This window comes from Homo sapiens, chromosome 11 (assembly GCF_000001405.40).
Source record: "Homo sapiens chromosome 11, GRCh38.p14 Primary Assembly".
In the NCBI taxonomy this organism is placed as follows: Eukaryota; Metazoa; Chordata; class Mammalia; order Primates; family Hominidae; genus Homo; species Homo sapiens.
Window position 1 is genome coordinate 17,638,027 of NC_000011.10, and position 24,152 is coordinate 17,662,178.

At 46.7% G+C, this 24,152-nt stretch overlaps 1 protein-coding gene across 2 annotated transcripts in view, besides 3 other annotated features; it reads left to right on the forward strand.

Annotated features, from left to right (window-relative positions):
- Nucleotides 1-8,018, forward strand: part of OTOG (otogelin) — a 98,786-nt gene extending 90,768 nt beyond the window's left edge. For both annotated transcript variants that reach the window (NM_001277269.2, NM_001292063.2), the window contains 9 exons: nucleotides 425-523; nucleotides 1,397-1,437; nucleotides 2,719-2,794; nucleotides 2,887-3,065; nucleotides 3,821-3,925; nucleotides 4,101-4,220; nucleotides 5,435-5,480; nucleotides 7,538-7,617; nucleotides 7,718-8,018. In NM_001277269.2, coding sequence (NP_001264198.1) covers nucleotides 425-523; nucleotides 1,397-1,437; nucleotides 2,719-2,794; nucleotides 2,887-3,065; nucleotides 3,821-3,925; nucleotides 4,101-4,220; nucleotides 5,435-5,480; nucleotides 7,538-7,617; nucleotides 7,718-7,918 — 947 coding nt within the window. In that variant the 3' untranslated portion in view covers nucleotides 7,919-8,018. The remainder of the gene's footprint in view (nucleotides 1-424; nucleotides 524-1,396; nucleotides 1,438-2,718; nucleotides 2,795-2,886; nucleotides 3,066-3,820; nucleotides 3,926-4,100; nucleotides 4,221-5,434; nucleotides 5,481-7,537; nucleotides 7,618-7,717) is intronic.
- Nucleotides 7,223-7,723: an enhancer, noted in NCBI's record as "H3K4me1 hESC enhancer chr11:17666796-17667296 (GRCh37/hg19 assembly coordinates)". NCBI's record gives its function as "activates a minimal SCP1, AML or CMV promoter by ChIP-STARR-seq in naive H9 embryonic stem cells {active_cell/tissue: H9 hESC(naive)}" and the evidence as "EXISTENCE:reporter gene assay evidence [ECO:0000049][PMID:30033119]".
- Nucleotides 7,724-8,224: an enhancer, noted in NCBI's record as "H3K4me1 hESC enhancer chr11:17667297-17667797 (GRCh37/hg19 assembly coordinates)". NCBI's record gives its function as "activates a minimal SCP1, AML or CMV promoter by ChIP-STARR-seq in naive H9 embryonic stem cells {active_cell/tissue: H9 hESC(naive)}" and the evidence as "EXISTENCE:reporter gene assay evidence [ECO:0000049][PMID:30033119]".
- Nucleotides 12,436-12,936: an enhancer, noted in NCBI's record as "H3K4me1 hESC enhancer chr11:17672009-17672509 (GRCh37/hg19 assembly coordinates)". NCBI's record gives its function as "activates a minimal SCP1, AML or CMV promoter by ChIP-STARR-seq in primed H9 embryonic stem cells {active_cell/tissue: H9 hESC(primed)}" and the evidence as "EXISTENCE:reporter gene assay evidence [ECO:0000049][PMID:30033119]".

A 24,152-nucleotide genomic window follows, 5' to 3' on the forward strand; every position in this document is an offset into this window, starting at 1 on the left:
GCAGGGTAGCATCAGCTGAAGCAGGGCATGCTCAGGTGGGCCCCAAGTGGATGAAGTTTCCACAGGGTGGGAAAGGTTGTGTTAGACAGAGCGGGATGTTCCCCATCAGCAGACCTTACCCTAATGGCTGGCTCTCCCTGGACCACCTCTTGCAGGGTGACTGCAGATTGAGGAGGCCCAATTTAATGAGCTTGAGGTTCTGACCCTGTCATGTCACCAGTGCCTCACAGACACAGCACCAGGACCTGAAGTAGCTCCCTGGGGAGACTTCGGGTGCCCAGACTCTTCCCTGGGGCTCTGAGGACAGTGGGGGTCACTAAGGAGGAGCTGGGGGTAGCCTCTCTTTAGCCAGTGTTGCCCTTCTGAGGATTCACATCCCCAGGTGCCTGTGACTGACGTGTCAACTGCCTCTCCTTCCCCACAGTGTGTGAGAACTTCCGCTGTCCCCAAGTGCAGTGTGGCCTGGGCACTGCCCTGGTGGAGGTGTGGAGCCCCGACCGCTGCTGCCCCTACAAATCCTGTGGTGAGTCCGTGGTCAGGACAGCCTCCCCGCTGGGAGATCCAGTGGCCCTGCTGAGGAGGGATTGAGGGAGCCCGGCCTACCACCGTCCACTCCTCTCAGATCTGTCCCCTGCAGGGTCTCTAGAGGAAGCCACCAGAATCACCTTCCTTCTGCATCCGCACTCCAAGTGCTGAGCATTCCTACAGCCTTTTCTCTCTAGGATAAAAGAAGGAAAAAGCAAGTTTCCCATTCCAAAGAGGGTTTCCGTCTTAAAAAGTCCTTACTGCGGCCGGGCACGGTGGCTCACACCTGTAATCCCAGCACTTTGAGAGGCCAAGGCGGGTGGATCATGAGGTCAGGAGTTCAAGACCAGCCTGGCCAAGACGGTGAAACCCTGTGTCTACTGAAAATACAAGAAAATCAGCCGGGCACGGTGATAGGTGCCTTTAAGAGGGTGGACGTTGCAGTGAGTCAAGATAGCGCCACTGCACTCCAGCCTGGGCGACAGAGTGAGACTCCATCTCAAAGAAAAATAAAATAAAATAAATAAAAAGAATAGGCTCTGGACCAGGTGAAGGGATTAATCCAGGTGACAAAAGGAAACCTGTGATTGGCCCATCTGCCTATTTATCCTTGCTCCATACCCAGTGGAGAGCTTGGTGTTCAGAACCCATCACTGCCCACCTACCTAATCAGCAGAGCTGCAGGCCTTCTCCTGCCCCCAGGGATGGAAGGAGGCTGAGATTTGGGCCTCTTCCTCTCCTCTCCCAGGCCTGGCCTGGAGCTGGGTCTTCAGAAGACGGGTTGTGCCAGCAGTGAGAGGTCCAGGGTACCCAGGGGATTCCTACCTGGACATCCCTGATGAAGTGGGGCCTGGCCCCTTGTGTTTTTCAGAATGTGACTGTGACACAATCCCGGTGCCCCGGTGCCATCTGGTATGGAGACGCTCCTCCCCCAACACTCCCTGGTCTGCTCCCCTTTCCTTTCCTCTCTATCCCCTCCTCTAGAGAATCTGCTCCTTTAATCTAGTGCAAGGAACCCGGGGTTGCAAGTCAGCATTCTTTTCCCAAGCTCTGCCACTGGCTTTCTGGGTATGGTGCCCTCCTTTGTAAAGTGGACATAATCATGCTTTAGAGTTGTGGTAAGGATTAAGTACAATGAAGATGAAAATTATCATGAAGATGATAATGATGATGCTGATGGTAGTGATGATGGTGGGGACAGTGAGGAGGATGGTGGTGGTGACGATGGTGATAGTGCAGTGATTATGGTAATAATGCAATGATGGTGGTGGTGGGGATGGTGAGGATGATGGTGGTGGTGATGGTGATAATGCAATGGTGATGGTGGTGGTGATGGTGAGGATGATGGTGGTGGTGATGGTGAGGATGGTGGTGGTGGTGATGGTGATAATGCAATGATGGTGGTGGTGGGGACAGTGAGGGTGATGGTGATAATGCAGTGACGATGGTGATGGTGGTGATAATGCAATGACAATGGTGGTAGTGGGGAAGGTGAGGATGATGGTGGTGGTGAAGATGATAATGGCAATGATGATGATGATGTTGATGACAATCATGACGGTAGCTAATGTTTACTGAGAGCTTACTAAATGCCAGGAACTTTCCTGGGGCTTTCATGTGTATTATTTATTCTCACAACAACCCTGTGAGGTTGTTTCTGTTGTTTTCTCAATCCTGCAAACAAGGAAGCTAAGGTTAAGGTCATGAAGCTAGTATATCATGGAGCCAGGGCTGACACCAAGGAAATCTGTCTCCAGAGATCATGCTCTTAGCCACCAGGCTGCATGGCCACTGAGGGAAGTGAAAATACTTTAAGAAATGTGAAGTCGTGTTTACAGTCCTTTTCTGAATTATATGTAACCCTCCCCACCCCAGCACACATTTCCTCTCACTCTGTCCCCCATTTCCTCCCTCCTTAACATTGCTGAAGGAAGGTGAGAAGTAGTGTGAGCCACCCGGGGCTCTGTCCCTCGCTGTGAAAGGAGAGGACACTGGACAGTGCTCCTCATTGGGGAGGCCTGGTAGCCACACTGGGACTGAGCTTCCAGGCTGCTGAGGGGCCCCAGGCCTGCCAGCCCCCCTCCTGCCCACCACAGGGAGGGACTGACGTAGAGAGGGGCCCAGGTGGCAGACTGCTCCTGAGGGCCAGGCTGGCCCCCAACCCAGGGTGCTGACTGCCTCTGCCCCACCCAGTGGGAGAAATCCCAGCTGGATGAGGAGTTCATGCACAGCGTGGAGAATGTGTGTGGCTGCGCCAAGTACGAGTGTGGTGAGTGGGGGAAGCCTCGGGGCAGAGCCATGCAGGAGGGGCATGGGTGCCTGGGCTCTGGATGACTGTTGCCGCCCTGCATGCCCATCCAGTGAAGGCCCCGGTGTGTCTGAGCCGCGAGCTGGGTGTGATGCAGCCCGGCCAGACAGTGGTGGAGCTCTCAGCAGATGGCGTGTGCCACACCTCCCGCTGCACCACCGTGCTCGACCCTCTCACCAACTTCTACCAGATCAACACCACCTCCGTGCTCTGTGACATCCACTGTGAGGCGGTAGGGTGCAGCCCAGGGCGGGGTGGGTGGGGTTGGGAGGGCTTGCCTGGCAGACCTTGGGTGCTCCAGGAGCCAGAGGGGCCCTTGAAGCTGCCCTAAACCCCCAGGACAAGTCAGAGGGGCCCTCAGAAACCTCTGTAGAAAGTGCCAAGAAAGGGACTAGGTTGGGAGAGGCCAGAAGGGGAACAGAAGGGACGGATTTAGTGCCTGGAAAGAGTGGGTGTTGACAGACACAGCACACATTTATTAGGTGCCTATGGAATGCCTGGCACATTCCCTGTCCCTTTGGTTTGCGTGCTTGTGTTGCTACTATTTGGTGAGCACTTCTTCATGCCTAGTACTTAGGATGGTGACTGGCTTCTAGTAAGGGCTAAATAAATATTACTTGGATAAAGAAGGTTAGAATTATTCCCATTTTTCAGAGGAGAAAACTGAGGCTTAGGGAGACTCTGTCATTTGTCAAAAGTCCTACAGGAACTAAGACTCAAATGGAGGTCTGTCTGGAATAAAAACTGGCATCCTTACTTAGCAGAAATGGCTTGGAAAGGGTGGAGATGCTCTTTGCTGTAAGGGAGGCTCAGGGTAGATACAGGGATGATTAGCTGCCTGTGACAGAAGGAGGCTGGGAGCGCCTCTTCTCGAGCACTTACAGAGGGTCCTTCCAGGCTCTGGGATCCCTCACAGATAACCAGGCAGTGGGAGAGCCAGGGTGGAGGTGGGCATCTGGCTGAGGCCCACCCCGCCCTGGCCTGTAGAACCAGGAGTACGAGCACCCGCGGGACCTCGCTGCCTGCTGCGGCTCCTGCAGGAACGTGTCCTGTCTCTTCACCTTCCCCAATGGCACCACCTCCCTGTTCTTGGTAAGCAGCCCCCTCGCTGCCCACTTAGGAGGGTGTCCCAGAAGGGGACACCAGGACTAGGGCCCTCTCTGGCTTGCAGGCCAGGGCTGGGTACAAACAGGCTCCCAGACCCTATGGGTTTGCGCAGGCTGTCCATCTGGCCACAGCTCCCATTACCTACTTCTGTGCCCTCCAGCCCGGGGCATCCTGGATCGCAGACTGCGCCCGCCACCACTGCAGCAGCACGCCCCTGGGTGCCGTGCTGGTCCGCTCTCCCATAAGCTGCCCACCGCTCAATGAGACTGAGTGTGCCAAGGTCAGTGCCTCCTTCTCCACTGAGGCTGTAGGCCAGGGGCATCAGCTGTCTCACTGGTGGTGGGGTGGAGGTCCTGTGTGCAGGAGTGCAGGAAGAAGGGCTCCCTGGAGCCTGTGCCTGCACTGCCACCCCAAATCCATATGTCTCTCTGCATTTCTTTTTGCCCTGACCACATCACACCCTGCCTCTTCACACATCACATGACCACATGCAGATGTGCACAAACACACACTGTTACATGTTCTAGGCACATTCAGCCAGACACCAACACAGGTCACCAGTCACTCACACACCACACACTCCAGGGACATTCACATCAGCATGCCAATGCACACACCACGCGTCATCACACCTCAAGGCACTCACATAAGCACACTCTTGCACACACATGCCACGCAGATGCAGTTCAGTCCTGTGATGGCTGGCAGGTGTCCAGCACTAGCATGGACAACTGTCAGTATGGGCGCACCTCAGAGAAAAGGATTTCCTGGAAGGCTTGGGGTTATTGTTGAATTATTAAAGTCCCTGAGATTAATAGTGGACATTTGAAGATTTCCGACTCTTCCCTAGAAAACAAATATACACAGACACTCAATGACACTCATACACACACCCACACATGCAAAATCACACATGTACACACAGATGCTCATGTATGTGCTCACAAAATCACACACACATACTGAGACCTGCCCCCCAACACACACACTTATGTACAAAGAACTGTCCCATCCATTGTTTTACCCATTTCATTATAGAGGAGGAGGGTTTTAACGGATACTTGCCCCCATTTTAGAGATGGGAAAATTAAGCCTAGAGGAAGAGGATGATTTGTCCAGGGCTGAGGTAGAGCCCAGGCCACTGACCAAAGTGGGTGACCCCTGCGCCCCTCCCCTCCCTTATCCTCTGTGCTGGGAAGCACTGGCAGTGGGGTAGGCAATGGAAGACATGAGGGGAACTGCCCCAGGAAAGATGGGAGGCCCTGTACCATCTTGACCCAGGCTCCTGCCGCAAGGGGGCTACGTGCAGCCTTAGTGGCAGCTTAGCCCCCGTGGCTCTCCTATGGCCTGGCAAGGGGCCTATGCTCCTGCCCTGGGGCATCACGGGGAGAGAAGAGTCAAGACTCCTGTACTCTGCCTGTTTCTGGGATCTTGGCTCCCGGCCTGGACAGGGGTCTCCACACCTACCTACCTCCCCCGACTTCCTCTCTCTAGGTTGGGGGTTCCGTGGTACCTTCCTTGGAAGGATGCTGCAGGACCTGTGAGTGAGCATGGTGGGGGCCCAGGGGTGGGGGGCTCTGATGGGGGCACAGGGTGTCATGTCAGGGGACAGAGGACCAGGTTCCTGGCCTGGCACCTAAAATGATAGCTCTTCTGGGCTGAGTAGATGAAGGGATAACACCCACACCACAGGGCTCACGGCACTGACGCAAATATGCAGATGGCTGGAGGCCATGTTTATGTCCTTGTTCCCATACAAAACCTCTGCTTCTTGTCACAGCCAGAGGACATTGGGGCATAGCATTCAGGAGGTCAGTAGCTCACCAGTTACTTCGCCTCCTCCTGCCCCTGCCAAGGCCCCCAGCCCAGATGCTCCCACATAAATTCTCCCGTAGTCAGACGCCCTGGTCTTGGAGGAGCCTCCTGGGTGGGATTCAGGCCTCCAGGGTCCCTGACAGTCCCCGTTAGTCCCGCCTCTCCTCCACGGGTTAGTGTCCACTGTCGCCCAGGTACTCCTCTCGGAAGCCCACTGCACTGGAGGCAGGCAGCCGCATTGCTATGTCCAGCAATGTCCCTTCTGCTAGATGGCCTGATCTCTGGGGGCAAGGGAGGGGGAGGGCCCCTGCTCCCCACGTCTGGCACAGGCTATTGGGCCTGCAGTGCATGCTGGGTAGTGAGCTGTATCCCCTGGGCTTGCATGGGAAAGCTTCAGCAGGGCCCGCTCACCTGGCACCCACCAATGCCTCGGACTGCCACTGCTTTGCTCTTGCTGGTCACTCAGCCAGTCTTAGTCCAGGGCCCAGAGGGCCATGTCAGGACAGCCCTTAGTTCTCCTGCCTCCTGGAGCAGAGAGGGAAGACAAAGTGGACTTAGCTATGGCCAGAAGCCATCTAGCTGGTGCAGTAGGAAACCTCTGTGGTGAGGCTCAGAGACCAGAAGAAAAGATTCCATTCCATTTCTAAAGGGATTCCTGGGGTTACAGAGTGAGTGCACGTACCTGGCAAATATTTGTGGAGCGCCAACTATGTGCCAGACACTGTTCTAGGCACTGTAGAGCCTTGTGGAGCTGATATTTAGTGGGAGAGACAGAATAACAAGTATAAAAATATATACCAGGATGGAAGCATTGAGTTTTGTGGGGCCTGACTTATGCAATGTGGGGGGCTTCAACAAGAAGAAGAATACAAAATGTACAAATTCACATTAAAGTGTGAAAGGAAATATTTATTTAAAATGCACAAAGAACTTACAACAAATTCTGGAAGGGGCCTGTGCAAAAGAAGGCCATAAAGCTTATGATTCACATCGTAATTACCGATGTGTCTCTGACAAGACAGTGATTGTCCCCTCGACAAATATAAGCAAGGGAGGGGTCAGGGAGGGAGGACTGAGTAGAGGCAGTGAGTTGCAACTTTAAGAAGGGGAATCAGGTAATGCCTGGGAGAGGAGATATTGCAGCCAATTGCTAAAGGAGGTGAGGGCGTGAATGAGCCACAAGACTGGTTGTCTGTGAGAGGCATGGTCCAGGCAGAGGAAACCCACACTGGTTAGTTTCCATCCCTGTAACAGCTCTGTGAGATGGGTGAATCCCTGGTCCAGTTTGATAGCTATGGAAACCAAACAAAGCATCCCATTAGAATGAAGCGTCCCACTAGAGATTGGAGTTTCTATTCATTTAGGAAATTGCATAATCTTAATGCTAGAAGCCCTCTCAGGATGGGAAAACTGAAGCTCAGAGAGGGGTAAGGGTAAAGTGGCCAACACAGCTTAGAAATAGGCATTAGGGCTGGGGTGGGGAGGCAGCCTCACTCTGTCCCCAGATGCTTCTCTGCCCTAGCACAGAGTCCTCAAGGGGGCCCTGCTGGCCTTCCTGCCTCACTTGCTCACACTGCTCTGTTTCTGCCTTCCTGACTCCGCCTCCTTCCAGGGCATTGGGTTAAAAGGCTTTCCCTGGATGGGGAGGGGCACTAATGCATGGGTGCTAATGCTGGAAGAGAGACCCTCCAGCATGACACTAACTGCCCTGGGCTGGCCCATCCTGCTGCCCCGAAGAAGCCTGGTCTTGGCCACAGCTGCCTCATCCCCCTGTCCCCCCAGGTAAGGAGGATGGGCGCTCCTGCAAGAAGGTGACCATCCGCATGACCATCCGCAAGAATGAATGCAGGAGCAGCACCCCTGTGCGTGGTGCCCACAAGGCAGTGGGGCAGCAAAAAATGGGATGGAGGGGGTTTGGGGGTGTGAGCACCACAGACTGCCTCACTGGCCTGCCCGTTCCAGGTGAACCTAGTGTCCTGCGATGGGAGGTGCCCATCCGCCAGCATCTACAACTACAACATCAACACCTATGCCCGATTCTGCAAGTGCTGCCGTGAGGTGGGCCTGCAGCGGCGCTCTGTGCAGCTCTTCTGTGCCACCAATGCCACCTGGGTGCCCTATACAGTGCAGGAGCCCACCGACTGTGCCTGCCAGTGGTCCTGAGGCCTGGGGGCCCGGGCTAGCTGGACCACCTCTGCCAGCCCCACTTTCTGTTTCCAGCTGGCCCAATGTGAATGGGGGTATTAAAGGTGGTAGAAATCTGGCACGTGTTGAGCATGGAATGGTGGGAAGAGGTCACAGGAGTAACCAGAAAGGGTCACCCCTGCCCATCCTGGCTCCCTTTCTGGGCTCCCCATTTTCCGCACATGGGAAAGTGCCACAGTTGAGGGCTCAGGGAGCTCACCTCTGTCCCTGGTTTGAGATGGAAAATGGGCTTTAGGTCCAGGGGCAGCAGCCTCTGAACCTCTGTGACCCTGGCCACAGCTCTTGGTGGAGGGGGTGAGAGCTGTGGGAAGATGGGAAGGTGCATGGTGCTTACATGGGAACCACAGCTGGACCCAAGACCAAGCACAGGGGCAGGATGCAGTGGCCCATTCTCTTGGCCTTTTTGACTACACAAGAAACCAGACACAGTAAAAGGAAAGAGGGCTATACCTGCAACACTCAGGCCTGCAGATGGCTGCCCAGAAGGAGTTCCCAAAGACAAAGATGGTGGATTCTAGGGCCCAGGTTGTCTCACCAAGATCTGTGAAATCAGAGTGAGCTCAGTGACCTTCGCATCTCCTGTAGTCCAAAGAAAGGTGCCTGGTGTCCTGGTATTGATATGGTAATTCAGGAAAGGATTTGGAAGACCTAAGCCTGTACCCTTACCCCAAGGCAACCTTCCCAGCAGGCAGGCCGGCCTTGTGAGGCGGTGCTGGGGGAGTGAAACCCTCAGTGAGGGCCCAGCACTACTTATCTAGGATGCTGGTTGACAGCCCATGCCTTCAAGGCCCTAGGTTGCTGAGGGGGTACCTTCAGCCTGCAAATGCAGCTCCAGGCTTTGCAGTGTGCCTTTTCTCCAAGGCCATGACAGAGTCGGGCTCAGAGGAGCCTGATTATGGGTTGTGTGGCTCAGCCAGTGCCAGTCTCTGTGCTCCATGGGACTGTTTAGCAAGAGAGTGTCTGTTGGTGTCAGTGGAAAACACAGCCCCAGCCTCCCTGAGCACTTGTGAGATCCTTGTCACTGAACCAGAGCGTCCCCTAAAGCCAGGGCCAGCGTCCCCTTCCACACCCCACTCTGCAAGTCTCCCACCCCCTGTGCCACTTTGTGCCACGTGGAACCGAAGGGCATGAACATAAGGTTGTGCAGGCCCCAGCACTGCCCTGTGTGTCTGAAGATGTGGCTGGATGCCCCTTGAGGTGAGGAGGCTGTGCCAAGATGGACCCTGCTGTTTCCAAGCCTCTTTGTGCCCATGTTTGTGTTCTGTTTATTCATCAATAAACCACAGGATGACTTCAGGCCTCTGAGCATCTCTGAGGGAGCCAGGTTTACTTCGAACTTGAAGGAGTGTCCACTGTGAAGAGAAGACTCTATTTTGTGGCCCTGAACATCAGCACTGCTTCTGCCCCATCCGTCCCAGCACTATGCCCCACTCACAGCAGAACCATTGGTGGGTGTCTGCTGGTTGGAATTGAATGGACTGGAGACTGGCTTCTAGAGGAAGGGGATGAGGAGAAGGAAGAGGACATTGGGAGCTGGGGAGCTGGCACCCAGGAGAGGGACTGAGGAGTGATCCTGGTTCTGTGGGCCCAGAGACAGACGCTTCTTACAGGAGATGTGGGTGGGGCAGACCCAGAGAGTAGGTTTCATATTGGCCTCTTAACATTTCTGTATTTCTTTCCTTGTTGTTCTCCCAATGAGCTCAGTATGTTTTTGCAGCCATGTCAGCTGTGGTAGGATTAAGGAGCACCCAGGGACAGGCTCTCAGTGACACTTCACCTGCGAAGGACTGTTGGTACACCTAAGGAGCAAATGGGAGGGTGCTTTCCTGGGTTGTCCCATGTGGGAAGGAGAAGGAGGGGGGCTAGGAAAGTACCCCTCAGTAATAGGGCAAACTCCTAGAGGAGTCAGTGCTTACAGTGCAAGAGCTTCACCCTGCCTAGAGAGGGTAGAACATCTTTTTTTGAACGAACACTTGGAAGGCTTGGCTTTTATTTCATAAGTAAGCTCTTCTTATGGTGCATCTGTCTGCTAACATGGACCCTGAGTCTTTTCCTAATGAAGCTTTATGGCTTTGTAAGCAGCACATTTCTAAATAATCAATGGCTCAAATAAGAAATCAGAAAGGAAATTGGACAACATTTTGATCTGGGTGATTTTGAAATTATGACACATTAACCTGTGAGATGCAGCTAATGCAGTACTTAGAGAAACATTTATAGTCTTAAATGCATACATCACACTTCTTAATTTCTCATTATTACAGCCAGAGATGGGGTGGGACAAGGCTTCCAAACTTCTCTATCAGGGATGATGATCCATGGCTTGTAGTCAGTTATCTCCTTAGCTATACACACTCCCTAAATCAATAGTTTTCAGAATTTTGAACTCTGATTTCAGCAGAACATGACTTTAAACAGAACATGGCTGTTAAAGTGAACTAGGTTCAAAATCCTGGTTCTATTATATGGCAAGATGTTTTGACTAAGACATAAGGAAGTTTTTATAGCCATTGCTGGCTATATAGTATCCCTGGCTGTTCATTCCTCACCTCATCACCCTTCCCATCTGTTTGTGTCCAGTTACGGGAAAGCAGCTTTTGAACAGGCCACTCCTCATCAGCTGTTGCATAGACAGAGGCAGAGGGCACCAGGTTAAGTCAGCCAGCCTTGGCCTAAATGTCTTTCTGCAGTCTCAATTCGGGAGGGTGGCTCCAGGCTTTCAGACACCTGTTCCCCACATCTGACCCATTGTTGGTGACACAGTTTCAGTAGCCTGGCCCTCCTTGGCTCCAGTTGGCAGCAGTTCTCCAGCCCTCCTGCTGTACTCCCACTGTGTCCTCTCAGATGGCCATAGCTCCTGGTGATCACACCCTACTGTGGGAGTCCCAGCATGCCTGGATGTTCCCCCCGGCCACCTCACCTCCACTCCCGCTCAGACAACCCCCCCGCCTACTCCTACTGGAAGCCAACTTCTCACTCTAAATTTTTGGTCAAAATTCCCAGTTCTATTTTCCTAGATCCCTCCTGAAGATACTGACTTTTTTTTCTTTCAGGGTAAGACAATTTAGTGAAAGATTAATGAGAGGAAAATCTCCAACCCTGTCTTGCAATGTAGGGAAGGCAGGAAACAGTGAAGACTTTGAACCTTAATTAGTGTTGTCCATTGCCCTCCAAAAAGCCAGTGCCAGCAGTGTTAATGCGAGTGTTCATATCAAATAGATACAATTTGTAGATGGTGATTTAAATGTAAAATACACATCTCCTTTAACTAAGTCATCCTATTTCTAGGTAGCTATGGAAGGCTGAATAGTGGTCCTCCAAAGATGTACAAGTCCTAATTTCTGGATCTTGCGAATATTTATATTACATTACATGGTAAAAGGGACTCTGCAGACGTGATTAAGGATCTTGAGATAAGAGGATTATCCTGGGTCATCCAGGTGGGCCCGGTGTAATCACAAGCGTCCTTATATAAGAGAGGCAGCCAGGTCAGAGTCAGAGAGAGGAGACGGGATGACAGAAGCGAGGTTGGAGTGATGTACTTTGAAGTTAGTGTAAGGGGCCACTGGTCAAGAAATCCAGGCAGCCTCTGGAAGCTGGAAAATCAAGGAACTGGATTCTCTCCTAGAGCCCCCAGAAGGAACACAGGCTGGCTGGCCCCTTGATTTTAGCTTAGTGAAGCTGATTTCATACTTCTGACCTCTACAACTGTAAGAGAATAAATGTGTGTGTTTTAAGCCACTAAATGTGTGGCAATTTGTTACAGGAGCAATAGGAAACAGATAGCATCAAAAGAAAGAATTCCTGCAGAGGCATGCGCCAGGATGTTTATTGCGGCATTGTCCTGAGTGTTAAAAATTAGTAACAACTGCAAATGCCTGTCAGTAGGGAAGGATTAAGCAACCTGGTACAGCCACACTCGTGAATATTATGTAGCCCTTTTGGGTACTGACATGCTGAGCTCTCCAGGATATGTTAAATGATGACAGGAAATTGTGGGTTGTTTCACACAGAATGATCCCTCCTTTATGCACCTGTGTGGGTAATACACACACACATACAACACAACACAACACACACACACACACACACACACGTCTCATTCCCTTGAAGAGTTTTCAAGATTGAGGAAGGTCCTTCCTGGCTGTTGAGCCACCAACTAGTTCAGTGGCAACTTTGGTCCTAGAATAGCCTTTTCAGATCCCAGGAGATCATCAGAAGAGACTAGAATAGACTGAAGGCCCTAGGGACATCTGTGGCATCTCCCCCATTCCTGTTTCCTCCCACACTCTGTGCATTACTTAAAGCTTGAGGCAACTCCAGTGGCCACACACAGCTGAGGAAACAGAAAGCCAGGACCAGCAGAGCCACTGAGAGATTGGTGGCCGAGCAGGGTGGCTGCCCAGCTTGCAGCCCCCTGTGACGTATTTGCAAACACGAGGAGTTTTGAGCTGCAGAACCATCCCATTCTCCGTGGTGCAGGCTCAAGTTCCCGCCCTGATTTTCTGGGCTTAATCCTCTTCCTGTGGAAATCAATAAGGACATTGTGATGGAATGATTCACGTTCAAGGTCAGGCCGGAGCAAATTGGAGGCGACATGCTGATTTTACTACCCTCACTGTGAGGAGAGCCAATCCTGCTCACAGACCCCCTTAACCCTTTCCTTGTCACTGTGGTAAGCACTGTCTGCACAGGCCCCCTCCCCAGGCCCAGATCCCCCTGGCCTCACCCACGTGTGGCGCTTTTGTTTACATTTTCCCAAGCCTCTGACCACACAAGGCCTTGGAGTCTTGCACACTTGTCATGGTGGTTTGGGGAAGGCAGACGACAGGTTCAGGAACAGCTTCAAATTGGAAGTCAAACGCTACATATCTAACTTCAGCTTCATGGGTAACATCCTGTTCCTCTCCCTTCACCAGAGCTGTTCCCCTTCCAACCCTCTTTTCTGAGTTCCAGACCCCTCTTCCCTGCTTTTCTGGGTTGTCCCACATGGGGAGGTAGAGGAGAGGGGACCAAATTCCTCATTTATTTTTTTCACACACAGCAAGGCTCAAACATGATAGAAGCTTATTCCTTCCTCCTATTTAAAAAAAACACTCAAAATAAGTAGGTAGCTAGAGCTTTGTGTCCAGAATGATTTAGGGATCCTGGCTCCTCTGTCTTGAGGTTCTACCACCTTCAGCACGGGCCTCCCAGAGTCTCTGTGATCTCAGGCATCAGCCAGCCGAGGTGCAGGGAGAGCATGTGCGGGAAGCTTGCAGGGCCCAGGACTGAAAGTGGCTCACTCCCTTCCACTCGGATTCCACTGGCCTGAACTGGCCACATCTCAGTGCAAGAAAGGCTGGGGAACGTAGTCCAGCTGTGTGCCCAGGAAGATGGGTCTGGTGGGCAGTGCTGTCTCTGTGAGGAAGCGGAGAGAGTGAGGAGGACAATGCTAGAAAGTGTGACTGGAAAAGAAGAGATAGAGCATGAGTTAGGGGAGGACTTGAGGTAGGCAGTGATTTGACTGTATGCCCTGGAGAAGCCAGTGGAAACAGAAAAGCTTTGCTGTGGAGAAAAGTCAGGGTCTCAGAGGGCCATAGCTGGCATGAGGAGGGACAGTGATGACACAGATACCTCTGGCTGGGCAGACCCCACCTTAGGTCTTTCTTTATCTCTGTTTCCAACATGGAACACTGAGGACACTGGAGAATAAGTGTGAACATACCTCTAAGCTTGAAGGTGAGGAGCCCAGACAACAAAGAGTTAAAGGGTGCAGGGGTGGGCAGAACCGGGGAGCCAGGTGCTCCCTAACATACTGTGCGGTGCCAGTTAATCCCCTGCAGCAGGCAGGAGGCCTGCACAGCTGTCTCTCCCGAGCTGGGATTGCATGCTTCCCCCTCCCTCTGCCACCTCCCTGATGCCCCCGGCCCCTTGCCCAGAGAACACAGCACCCCAGGGATTGGGTGGGGGTGGGTGGAGATGGGCAGGCAGCATGCTGGGTAACTGGTCCAGCCCCTGAACCCTTGGACAACTCTTTCTCTAGAGATAAACCATTCTCTAGGCTTGTTTCTCACTGGCCATGAAGACCGTACCTCTCCCAAGCCAGCCAAACCCAAACCTTATAGCTGGTCCTCCTACACAGTGTCCATTCCTGCCTCTGTGTCTTTGCCTCACCTGGAGTGTCCTTTTCCTCCTCTCCCTCGACAGTCCCTGCCTAGCCTGCAGAGCAGCTACAACACAGCAGCACCTAGGAGCCCTCCCTTTGGCCTCTAGCCCCCCAGCCCTAGTTTCTGCTTGACTGGGGCTTCCCATGCCAGCCTGTGCCTGTGCTCTGCCCAGGGAGGGGAGATGCAGGTCTGGCTCCAGCAGTCATTCATTTATTCCCACGACATCTTCATTCATAACAGATGAGGCTGCTAAGGCTCAGAGAGGGTAAGTGACTTGCACAGCTTGAGAGTGGAGGAATTAGGACTCAAGCTCACAACTGTTTAACTCCAGAGCCCACACTCACACTTTCTTTCTCAGCCCAGAAAGAGACTAAGAAGATTGCTGGGTGCCTGGGAGCTCTTCCTCCCTGTTACTCCAGGCTCCTTCTTCCTGGAAGCCAGAGGGAGCAGTGGAAAGAAGGTTCTAGTTTCTCTTTGGCCAGTTAGCAGTTGTAGAACATTGGCAAATTTTAAGCCTCAGTTCCCCATGGTGAGGAGAAGCAATAGGTTCTGCGACAGAGTTGGCAAGAGGGTCAAGTGAGATCATGGATGGGAAAGGGCTGGACAACTGCAGAGGCTGTGCTCATATGTGAGGCTGCTGGGCTGAGCCAGGGAATCCCAGCCCAGCTGGGACCAGAGCAAGAGAAAAGCAGGCTCAAAGAGCCGGACTCAGTCCCAGCCCACCCTCCATCCAGCAGACTCAGGGCTCACTGCTAAGCCTTTGCCTCTGTGTGCCCTATCCAGCTATGCCATCTTGCCTCTGTTCCACTGAACCAGATCACCATTTACGGATCCTTGGAGCTGATCTTCGGGATCTAGTAAAGGGCCTAGATTGTGGGGTAGGTTCTATCTCTGAACAGCTGTATGATTTACACTCTCCAAGTCTCAGTTTCCTCATCACCAAAATGGAAATGAGAGTCTGGCAAAGTGATGGTGAGAATGTTTATAGATAGAGTCCTGGCCTATGGTAGGCATTTAATAAATGGAGCTATTGTTTCCACTATGAACCTTCTTTCCTAAACCTTTAGGAATATCTTTAAACTCCTCCTTTTCAGGATTAGGAAACTGATCCCAGGGAATGACAGTGACTCACCCAGAGTCTCACTGCAAAGTGAGCAATGGTGGAGGCAGCGCCAGACTCCAAACCGAGTGCCCATTCCATTGCCTCTGCCAGAGAATCTTCCCTGAGCTCCAACCTAGGGTGGGCCTCCCTGTGCTGACCTTACAGCCTCTACTATCTGAGTCGCCCACTAGGCCTTCCAAAAGCCCTGTCTCTATCTGAGACAGGAAGTTCCCAGGTAGGACCCAAGCCCCCCAGCAGAAACTATCACCTAGCTGGATCCTTTTCAAGGTGTAGATACCCAGCTAGGGAAGCTTATTTCTCAAGGGGTTTCCCGGGACTTGGCTAAGCTGGGTGACATCAACTTCCCAATGGAGGGGAGAAAGAAATAAGAGAGGGAAGGGTTAAGGCTCAGCAGCTGGGACAGGCAGCCTGCAGACGGCCCAGCCCAGTGCTGGGGGGCCTGCACCATTCCATTCCTTTGCAGATCAGTTACACCCAGCTGTCTCCCTCCCCACTGCCAGCACCCCTCGGATTAGGCGGGAAAGGCTCCCCGGCCTGCGGCCTGCACACGGCCCATGGGGAACAGCGCCTGCAGCCCACGCCTCCACGACAGCTGCTGAGTGTCAGGCAAGAACATAGATCAGTGGGATCCTGGCAGAGGTGCCCTAAGCCCAAGCCCTGCCCCCAGCATGTGCAGGAGGGGCTGCCCGAGAAGAAAGGGGGTCTGTGAGGGATTTGGGAGGTACAGGGCAGAAATTGCTCCCAAAAATATCTCCTCTGCCCATGTGTCACTGTGCCTCAAATTCCACCATTAAACATCTTAAAAGTTTGGGGCTTCCAGAGACACCAATTAAAAACTACACCCCATGGAGTAGCTGGCATTTTGATGCACTGTTGATAGGAATGTATTTGTAAAATTTATGAACATTTAATTTTATTTTACAAAGTATATATGAAGTCCCTCAAAAATATCTTTTCCTTTTTCTCAGTTGTCCCACTGAGGGCTTTAACTTAAAGAGGAACTTAACTTAAGGACATAGTTTATAATATGGAAAGAATGTGGGCTGGAGTCTTAAGATTAAGAGAAAACACAAACTAAGGTCATGAATACTCTCAAAATACTCACAAAAGCCAGATGAAAAAAACAAAAGAAATTTTAACACTAGAAAATATCTGTGCCTGTACCGGAAAACATGAAACAGTTCCACCAATAGGTCAGAAATAGGAAATTTCTTGAAGTTATAAAGCAAATGGGAGGCAGCATAGTGTATAGGTAGAAAGATGGTCCAGACTCTAATCCTGGTTGCTTTACTCACGAGTTCTGTGATGTTAGCAAATTACTGAACCTCCCTGAATTTCAGTTTCCTCAACTGTAAAGTTGGAACAGTAATTACAATAACTGTGAGAAATACATGAAGATTAGAGGAGATCATTTTTGGTAAATATCCCTGTGATTCCACCATCAGAGGACCGTGACCATAGAAATCACCATCAACTATGAGTGAATGGTTATGGTATGTCTCCTCCAGCCACTTGCCTACATAGCTGCTAAGAAAACCCTCACAGTACCAATTCTAATTAATCCAGAATTTTATTATACATATTACCAGCCAGTTAAAACTCATTATTTGAAAAGAATGGACAATGGCAAAATGGTGCCCAAGTTGAAATGGCAGGGTAACTTACCCTCAATGAAAAGTCAATCAATTCAAGGAAGAGGAAAAGCATGAACAGTATTCTAATTAATATTCCCAGGATGATCCATGAGGATATTGTATCTAAAAAATAGGAGGCTAATAAAGTACAATCAGAAAAAAAAGTTTCTAGAAATTAAAACCATATATAACTTCTACTTCCATCACACAGAGTACCTGGTATTCAACCTACCCTGCAATTATAAACAACTAGAAAATTGGTGAAAATACATGACATACATGTTTCCAGACGTGGGCAACAGGCAGTGCAAGGCTAGGATCCCGCAGAGAAGGGAAATAGGTGAAGAATTAATAAATCTTACTAGAAAGTTCCAAATTCTGCCTGGATAATTTTCTGGAACAAGAGACAGGGAAGGGCATGTCCCAGCAGAGCAGGGTGGTCTCGCTGAGTTGAAGACAGATCAAATTCAGGCAGTCTGAGGCAACTGAAATATGTGGGGCAGAATACCAGAGATGAGGGAGCCATGTAGAAAAAGAACTCCAGAAAGTTGCATATATTAAGGCTGTGGTTGAACATTAAGGTGCACATGTGTAGGCTGAATATCCATAAAGACAGGTGAAGAACCAGTGGGTAATTGTAAACTGAGAAATTCTTGGAGCTTTTGCAGAGCTGAGAGACATTACATTTCTTACCAGCCAAAGTGAAAAGACCTCACTGAACATCCCGGGACTTAATTGAGCTTCCAGAAATGGTCATACTTTAGAAGAAGGATTAAACTACACCTAGAGTAAAGGCTACCCTAAAGAAGCCCTAATTAAGCTTTGAAAAAAGCCTCAAATTGACCATGCTGACACACAGTAGCTATAAGACATAAGAAAGTCTAAATATTCTTTAAGGGAAAAAATACAGACATTCAGCAACATACTATTAATAATGCCTAGAATCCAATTAAAATTACTAGACATGCAAAGCATCTGGAAAACGTGACCCATAACAAGGAGAAAAAAACAGTCAATAGAAACAGACCTAGAAATGACAAAGATGATGATATTAGCAAACAAGGGCTTTTAAGTAGCTATTATACATATGCTTAAGAATGTAAAGAAAAACATAAGCATAATGAAGACAGAAACGGGAGATATTTAAAAAAATAAAATAGTCTAGAGATGAAAATATAAAGTTTTAAGTGAAATGAGATTAACAACAGATTAAAGAGTGCCAAATAAAAGATCAGTGAACTTGAAGATGTAACAAGAGGAACTTTCCAAAATGAATTACAGGGGCCAGGCGTGGTGGCTCATGCCTGTAATCCCAGCACTTTGGGAGGCCAAGGTGGGTGGATCACTTGAGGTCAGGAGTTCGAGACCAGCCTGGCCAACATGAGGAAACCCTGTCTCTACTGAAAATACAAAAATTAGCCAGGCGTTGTGGCACTCACCTGTAATCCCAGCTACTCAGGAGGCTGAGGCAGGCTCCCAGGCTGAACCTGGGAAGCAGAGGTTGCAGTGAGCCAAGATGGCACAACTGCACTCACTCCATCCTGGGTGACAGAGTGAGACTCCATCTCAAAAAAAAAAAAAAAAAAAAGAATTACAGGGTGATGGCCAGGAACAGGTGGCTCACGCCTGTAATCCCAACTCTTTGGGAGGCTAAGGTGGGTGGATCACTTGAGGTCAGGAGTTCAAGATCAACCTGGGCAACATGGCAAAAGCCTGTCTCTACTAAAAATACAGATTAGCTGAGTGTGGTGGTGGACACCTGTAATCCCAGCTACTTGAGAGGCCAAGGCAGGAGAATTGTTTGAACCCAGGAGGCTGCAGTGAACTAAGATGGTGCCACTGCCCTCCAGCCTGGGCGACAGAGTGAGACTCTGTTTCAAAAATAAAATAAAATAACAAAATGAATTACAGAGTAAAAGAAAAACTGAAAAAAAAATGAACAGACCCTTAGTGACCTATAAAACAGTATGAAGAGATCTAAAATCCATAAACTTAAGCCCCAAAGGGACAGAAGGGAAAGAAAAAGTATCCTAAGAAATAATGGATTCCAGAATATATAGATAACTCCTAAAGCTCAACAATAACAACTAAAAACAAACAACACGATTAAAAAATGACCAAAGGACTGGAATAGACATTTCTTCAAAGAAGATACACAAATAGTAAGTATATGAAAAGATGCTCAACATCAGTAATCACTAGGTAAATGCAAATCAAAATCATAAAGACATACCACTTTACACCCATTAGGATGTTTATTATTTAAACAAACAAAAATTAGAAGATAAGTGTCAGTGAGAATATGAAGAATTTGGCAACCTTGTTTACTGCTGTTGGGAATGTAAAATGGTGCAGCTGCTATGGAAAACAGGATAGTAGTTTCCCTAAAATTAAAAATAGAATTACTATATGATCCTGTAATTGCATTTCTGGGCATATGCTCAAAAGACTTGAAAGCAGAGACATAAACACACATTTGTACACCATGTTTATAGCAGCATTATTAACAATAGCCAAAAGATGAAAACTACCCAGGCATCAATCAATGAATGAATTGATAAACTAAATGTGGTGGTACATACAATGGAATATTATTCATTCTTAAATAGGAAGAAGTTTCTGACACATTCTACTCTTTGGATGCAAATTTAAGACTTTATGCTAAATGAAATAAGCCAATCACAAGGACAAATGCTGTATGATTCCACTTATATGATGTACTTAGAGTAGCTTGCTTAGTGGTCACCCAACAATTTGGATAGAAGTTATTCCTAACCATCTCAAAACTCACAAGTTTTCACACTCTGCCTATCAGCCTATATGTGGGTTGGCTCGTGCACTTCAAATTGTAGCCATGCCATAGACATAAAGGTAAACATATAGATCAATGGAATAAAATTGAAAGCCCAGAAATAAATTCTCACATTTATGGTAAATTGACTGTCAAAAAGTGTGCTAAGACAATTCACTGGGAAAAAGAACAATCTTTTCAACAAATGGAAAAACTGGATATTTACATGAAAAAGAGTGAAGCTGGACCTGTTTCTTACACAATATATAAAAATTAACTCCAAATAAATTGTTGGCCCAAGTGTCAGAGACAAAACAATAAAACTATTGGAAGAAAATATGGGAGTAAATTTTCATGACCTTGGGTTAAATAAAGCTTTCCTAGATATGACACCAAAAGCCCCACTGACAAAAGAAAAATAGATACTTCAAATCTCATCAGAATAAAAGCTTTTGTGCTTCAAAGGACAACATAAAGGAAGCAACAAGACAACTCACAGAATGGGATATAATATTTGCTAATCATATGTCTGATAAGGGACTTATATCTCTAACATATAAAGGAGTCTTACAAATCAATAATAAACAACAACAAAATAACCAGTTTTTAAAAATGGGCTAAGGATCTGACCATGCATTTCTTCAGAGAAGATGAACACATGTCCAAGAAGCACAGGAAAAGAAGATCACCATCATTAGTCATCAGATAAATGCAAATAAAAACCACAATGAGATATCACTTCAAATCCACTAGGATGACTGTAATCAAAAAGTCAGATCATAACAAATGTTGAAGAGGATATGGAGAAATTGAAACCCTCATACATTGCTGGTGACAAGTAAAATGATACAGATACTTTGGAAAACAGTCTAGCAGTTTCTCAAAATGTTAAACATAGGGTTACCACATGACCCAGCAATTTCACTTCTAGTATAGACCAAAAATAATTGGAAATATATGTCCACACAAAAACTGCACACAAATGTTCACAACAGCATTATTCATAATAGCAAAAGTGTAAACAACCCCAATGTCTGCCATCTGATGAATGGATAAATGTAATTCCACACAATGAAATATTGTTCAGACATAAAATGGAATGCAATACTGATAAATACTACGACATGGATAAACCTTGAAAACATCATGCTAAGTGAAATAAGTCGGTCACAGAAGACCACATATTTCATGATTCCATTTATATAAATTGTCCATAGTAGGTAAATCTGTAGAAACTGAAAACTGATTGGTGGTTGCTTAGAGCTTGGGCATGTTGCAGGAAATGGAGGGTGACTGCTAATGTGTACTGGGCTTCTTTTAGGGTGATAAAAATGTTCAACAGTTGATTGTGATGATGATTGCACAACCCTATGAATATAATAAAAAATGTATAATAAAAACCATAGGTATACTTTAAAAGGGTGAATTGTGTGATATGTAAATTATATTGCAATAAAACTGATATATATAGTTATATTACATACACTTATATATGCAGTGATCGTCAGACTGGATAAGAAAAATAAGAACTATGTATATGCTGAATGCATGAGACAGGATCCAGAAACAAATAATTTGAAAGGGAAGAGTACAAATTTTTATATTCTGCACATAGTAACCAAGAGAAAGCTGGAGAGGATATAGTAACATAGGCAAAAGTAGACTTTAAGACAAGAAATATTCCTGGAGACAAGGAAAGATGTTTCATAATGATAATATGCTGAATACATTAAGAAAGTACAACAATTATATATGTAAAAGTATTTTACAACAGAGCCCCAAATTATATGAAGGAAAACCTAACATAATCAAAAGAAGAAATAGACAATTCAAGAGTTGTAGCTGAAAACGTTAATATTCTTATCAGAAATTACTAGAAAAACTAGACAGAAAATCAGCAATGATATAGTGGACTTAAACAACCCTGTTAACCAATTTGACCTAAATGATATATATTGATCACGCCACTCAACAACAGCAAAATAAACACATTTCAAGTGTTCAATAACACTTTTATTGAGACTATTAAATAAATCTCAATATATTTTGAAGGAATGTTATCATTCAAAGTATGTCCCCCAGTCATCATGGAATTAAGTAAAACATCAACCAAAGAAAAAAATCTTGGAAGTTTCCAAATACTTGAAAATTAACACAGATTTCTAAATAAAATAAAGTAAGAACATTTATTCAAAGTAAAATAAGGAAAAATTACAAGTAAAACTAGAAAATATGTTAAACTGGAAAAAAATGTAAACAAAACACATCAAAAATTATGGAATGCAAGTAAAGTAGTTCTTAGAGGAAAGTGTATAGTTTTAAACACATTAGAAAGAAAGATTCAAAATCAATAATCTAAGCTTCTCACTCCAGAAGGCCATAAAATGAAGGCCTAAGCAGAAAGAAGTTAGTAAACATCAGAGCAGAAACTAACAAAATAGAAAACAGAAAAGCAATAGAAAAATAAATGAAAGTAAAAATATACTCTCTGAAAATCAACAGGCTGGGTGTGGTGGCTCATGCCTGTAATCCCAGCACTTTGGGAGGCTTAGGTGGGAGGATTGCTTGAGCCCAGGAGTTCGAGACCAGCCTGAGAAACATGGTGAAACCCTGTCTCTATCAAAAATACAAAAATTAGCCAGGAGTGGTGGTGCACACCTGTGGTCCCAGCTACTCCAGAGGCTGAGGTGGAAGTATTGCTTGAACCTGGGAGGTGGAGGTTGCAGTGAGCTGTAAAGGTGCCATCGCACTCCAGCTTGGATGACAGAGCCAGACCCTGCCTCAAAAAATAAAAAATCAACAAAATTGATAAACTTTTAGCCAGACTGACCAAGAATGGAAGAGAAAATGCGCAAATTATTAAACTCAGGAATAAAGGAGGGGACATCAAAACAGACCCTACAGAATTAGATGAGAGTATTATGAATAACTTCATGCCAACAAATTAGACAAGTTAAATGAAGTGAAAACATTATAAGAAAGATATAAATAACCAAAAGTGACTCAAGAAAGAAGAGAAAATATGAAAAGACATATATCAAATAAAGAAATTGAATTAATAATTAAAATTATCTCACAAAGAAAACCCCAGGCCCAGATGCCTTCACTGGTGAATTCCATCTAACATTCAAGGAATAAGTAACACAAATCTTACATAAACTTTCCCAGAAGAGAGAGAAGGAGGGAACTTATTTTATAAAGCTGGACAAAGACATGACAAGAAACAAAACAACATTCTAATATTCCTCACGAACATGGATACAAAACTCCTTAACAAAATATTAGCAAACAAAATCCAGCAATGTATAAAAGAGATTGTACACTATGACCAAGTGAGATTTGTCTTACTGATGCAAGGTTGATTTAACATCTAAAAATCAAGTAATAAACAATCAAGTAATACACCATATTAACAAAATGAAGAGCAAATTCTACATAATCATCTCAATAGGCACATAAAAAGCACTGATAAAATCCACCATTCATTGATGAAAACAAAAACCTCTCAAAGAAGTAGGAATAGAAGGAAATGTCCTCAACAAAACAAAAGGCATCTACAAAAAACTTTCAACTAATATCACACTTAATAACCAAAGACTAAATGTTTATCCAGAAATATAAACTTTGCAGGATTTATGGTCTTGCCACTTCTATTAAATATCATACAGGAAGTTCTACCAGTCAATAAAGTAAGAAAAAAAAAAAAACCTTAAGGTATAGAGTGGAATGACAAAAGTAAAAACTATATTTAGAAATTAGAGGATCATCTATGTAAAAAATTCTAAGGAAATTACAACACAAAAAGCTATTAGAACTATGACTAGAAAGCTACCTACTTAGTAAGGTAATGCAATGCAAGCTCAATAAGCAAAAATTAATTGTATTTCCGTTTTTCTTTTAACTTTTATTTTAAGTTCAGGGGTACATGTGCATATTTCTTATGTAGGTAAACTTATGTCATGGGGGTTCATTGTACAGATTATTTCATCACCCAGGTATTAAGCCTAGTACCCATTAGTTATTTTTCCTGATCGTCTCCCTCCTCCACCTTTCAATAGGCCTCAGTGTCTGTTGTTCCCCTCTACATGTCCATGTTTTCTCATCATTTAGCTCCCATTTGTAAGTGAGAACGTGTGATATTTGGTTTTCTGTTCCCGTGTTAATTTGCTAAGGATAATGGCCTCCAGCTCCATCCATGTTCCTGCAAAGGACATGGCCTCATTCATTTTTATGGATACATAATGTTCCATGGTGTATATGTACCACATTTTCTTTATCCAGTCTACCATTGATACGCTGATTCCAGGTCTTTGATATTGTGAATAGTGCTGCAATGAACATACACATGCATGTGTCTTTATGATGGAATGCATTTCTATATAATAGCAACAAACAACCTAAAAATTAAATTATGAAAATAATTGCAATCACAATAGTATAAAAAGAATAAAATATTTTGGAATACATTTAACAAACGTGTAAGACTTATATGCTG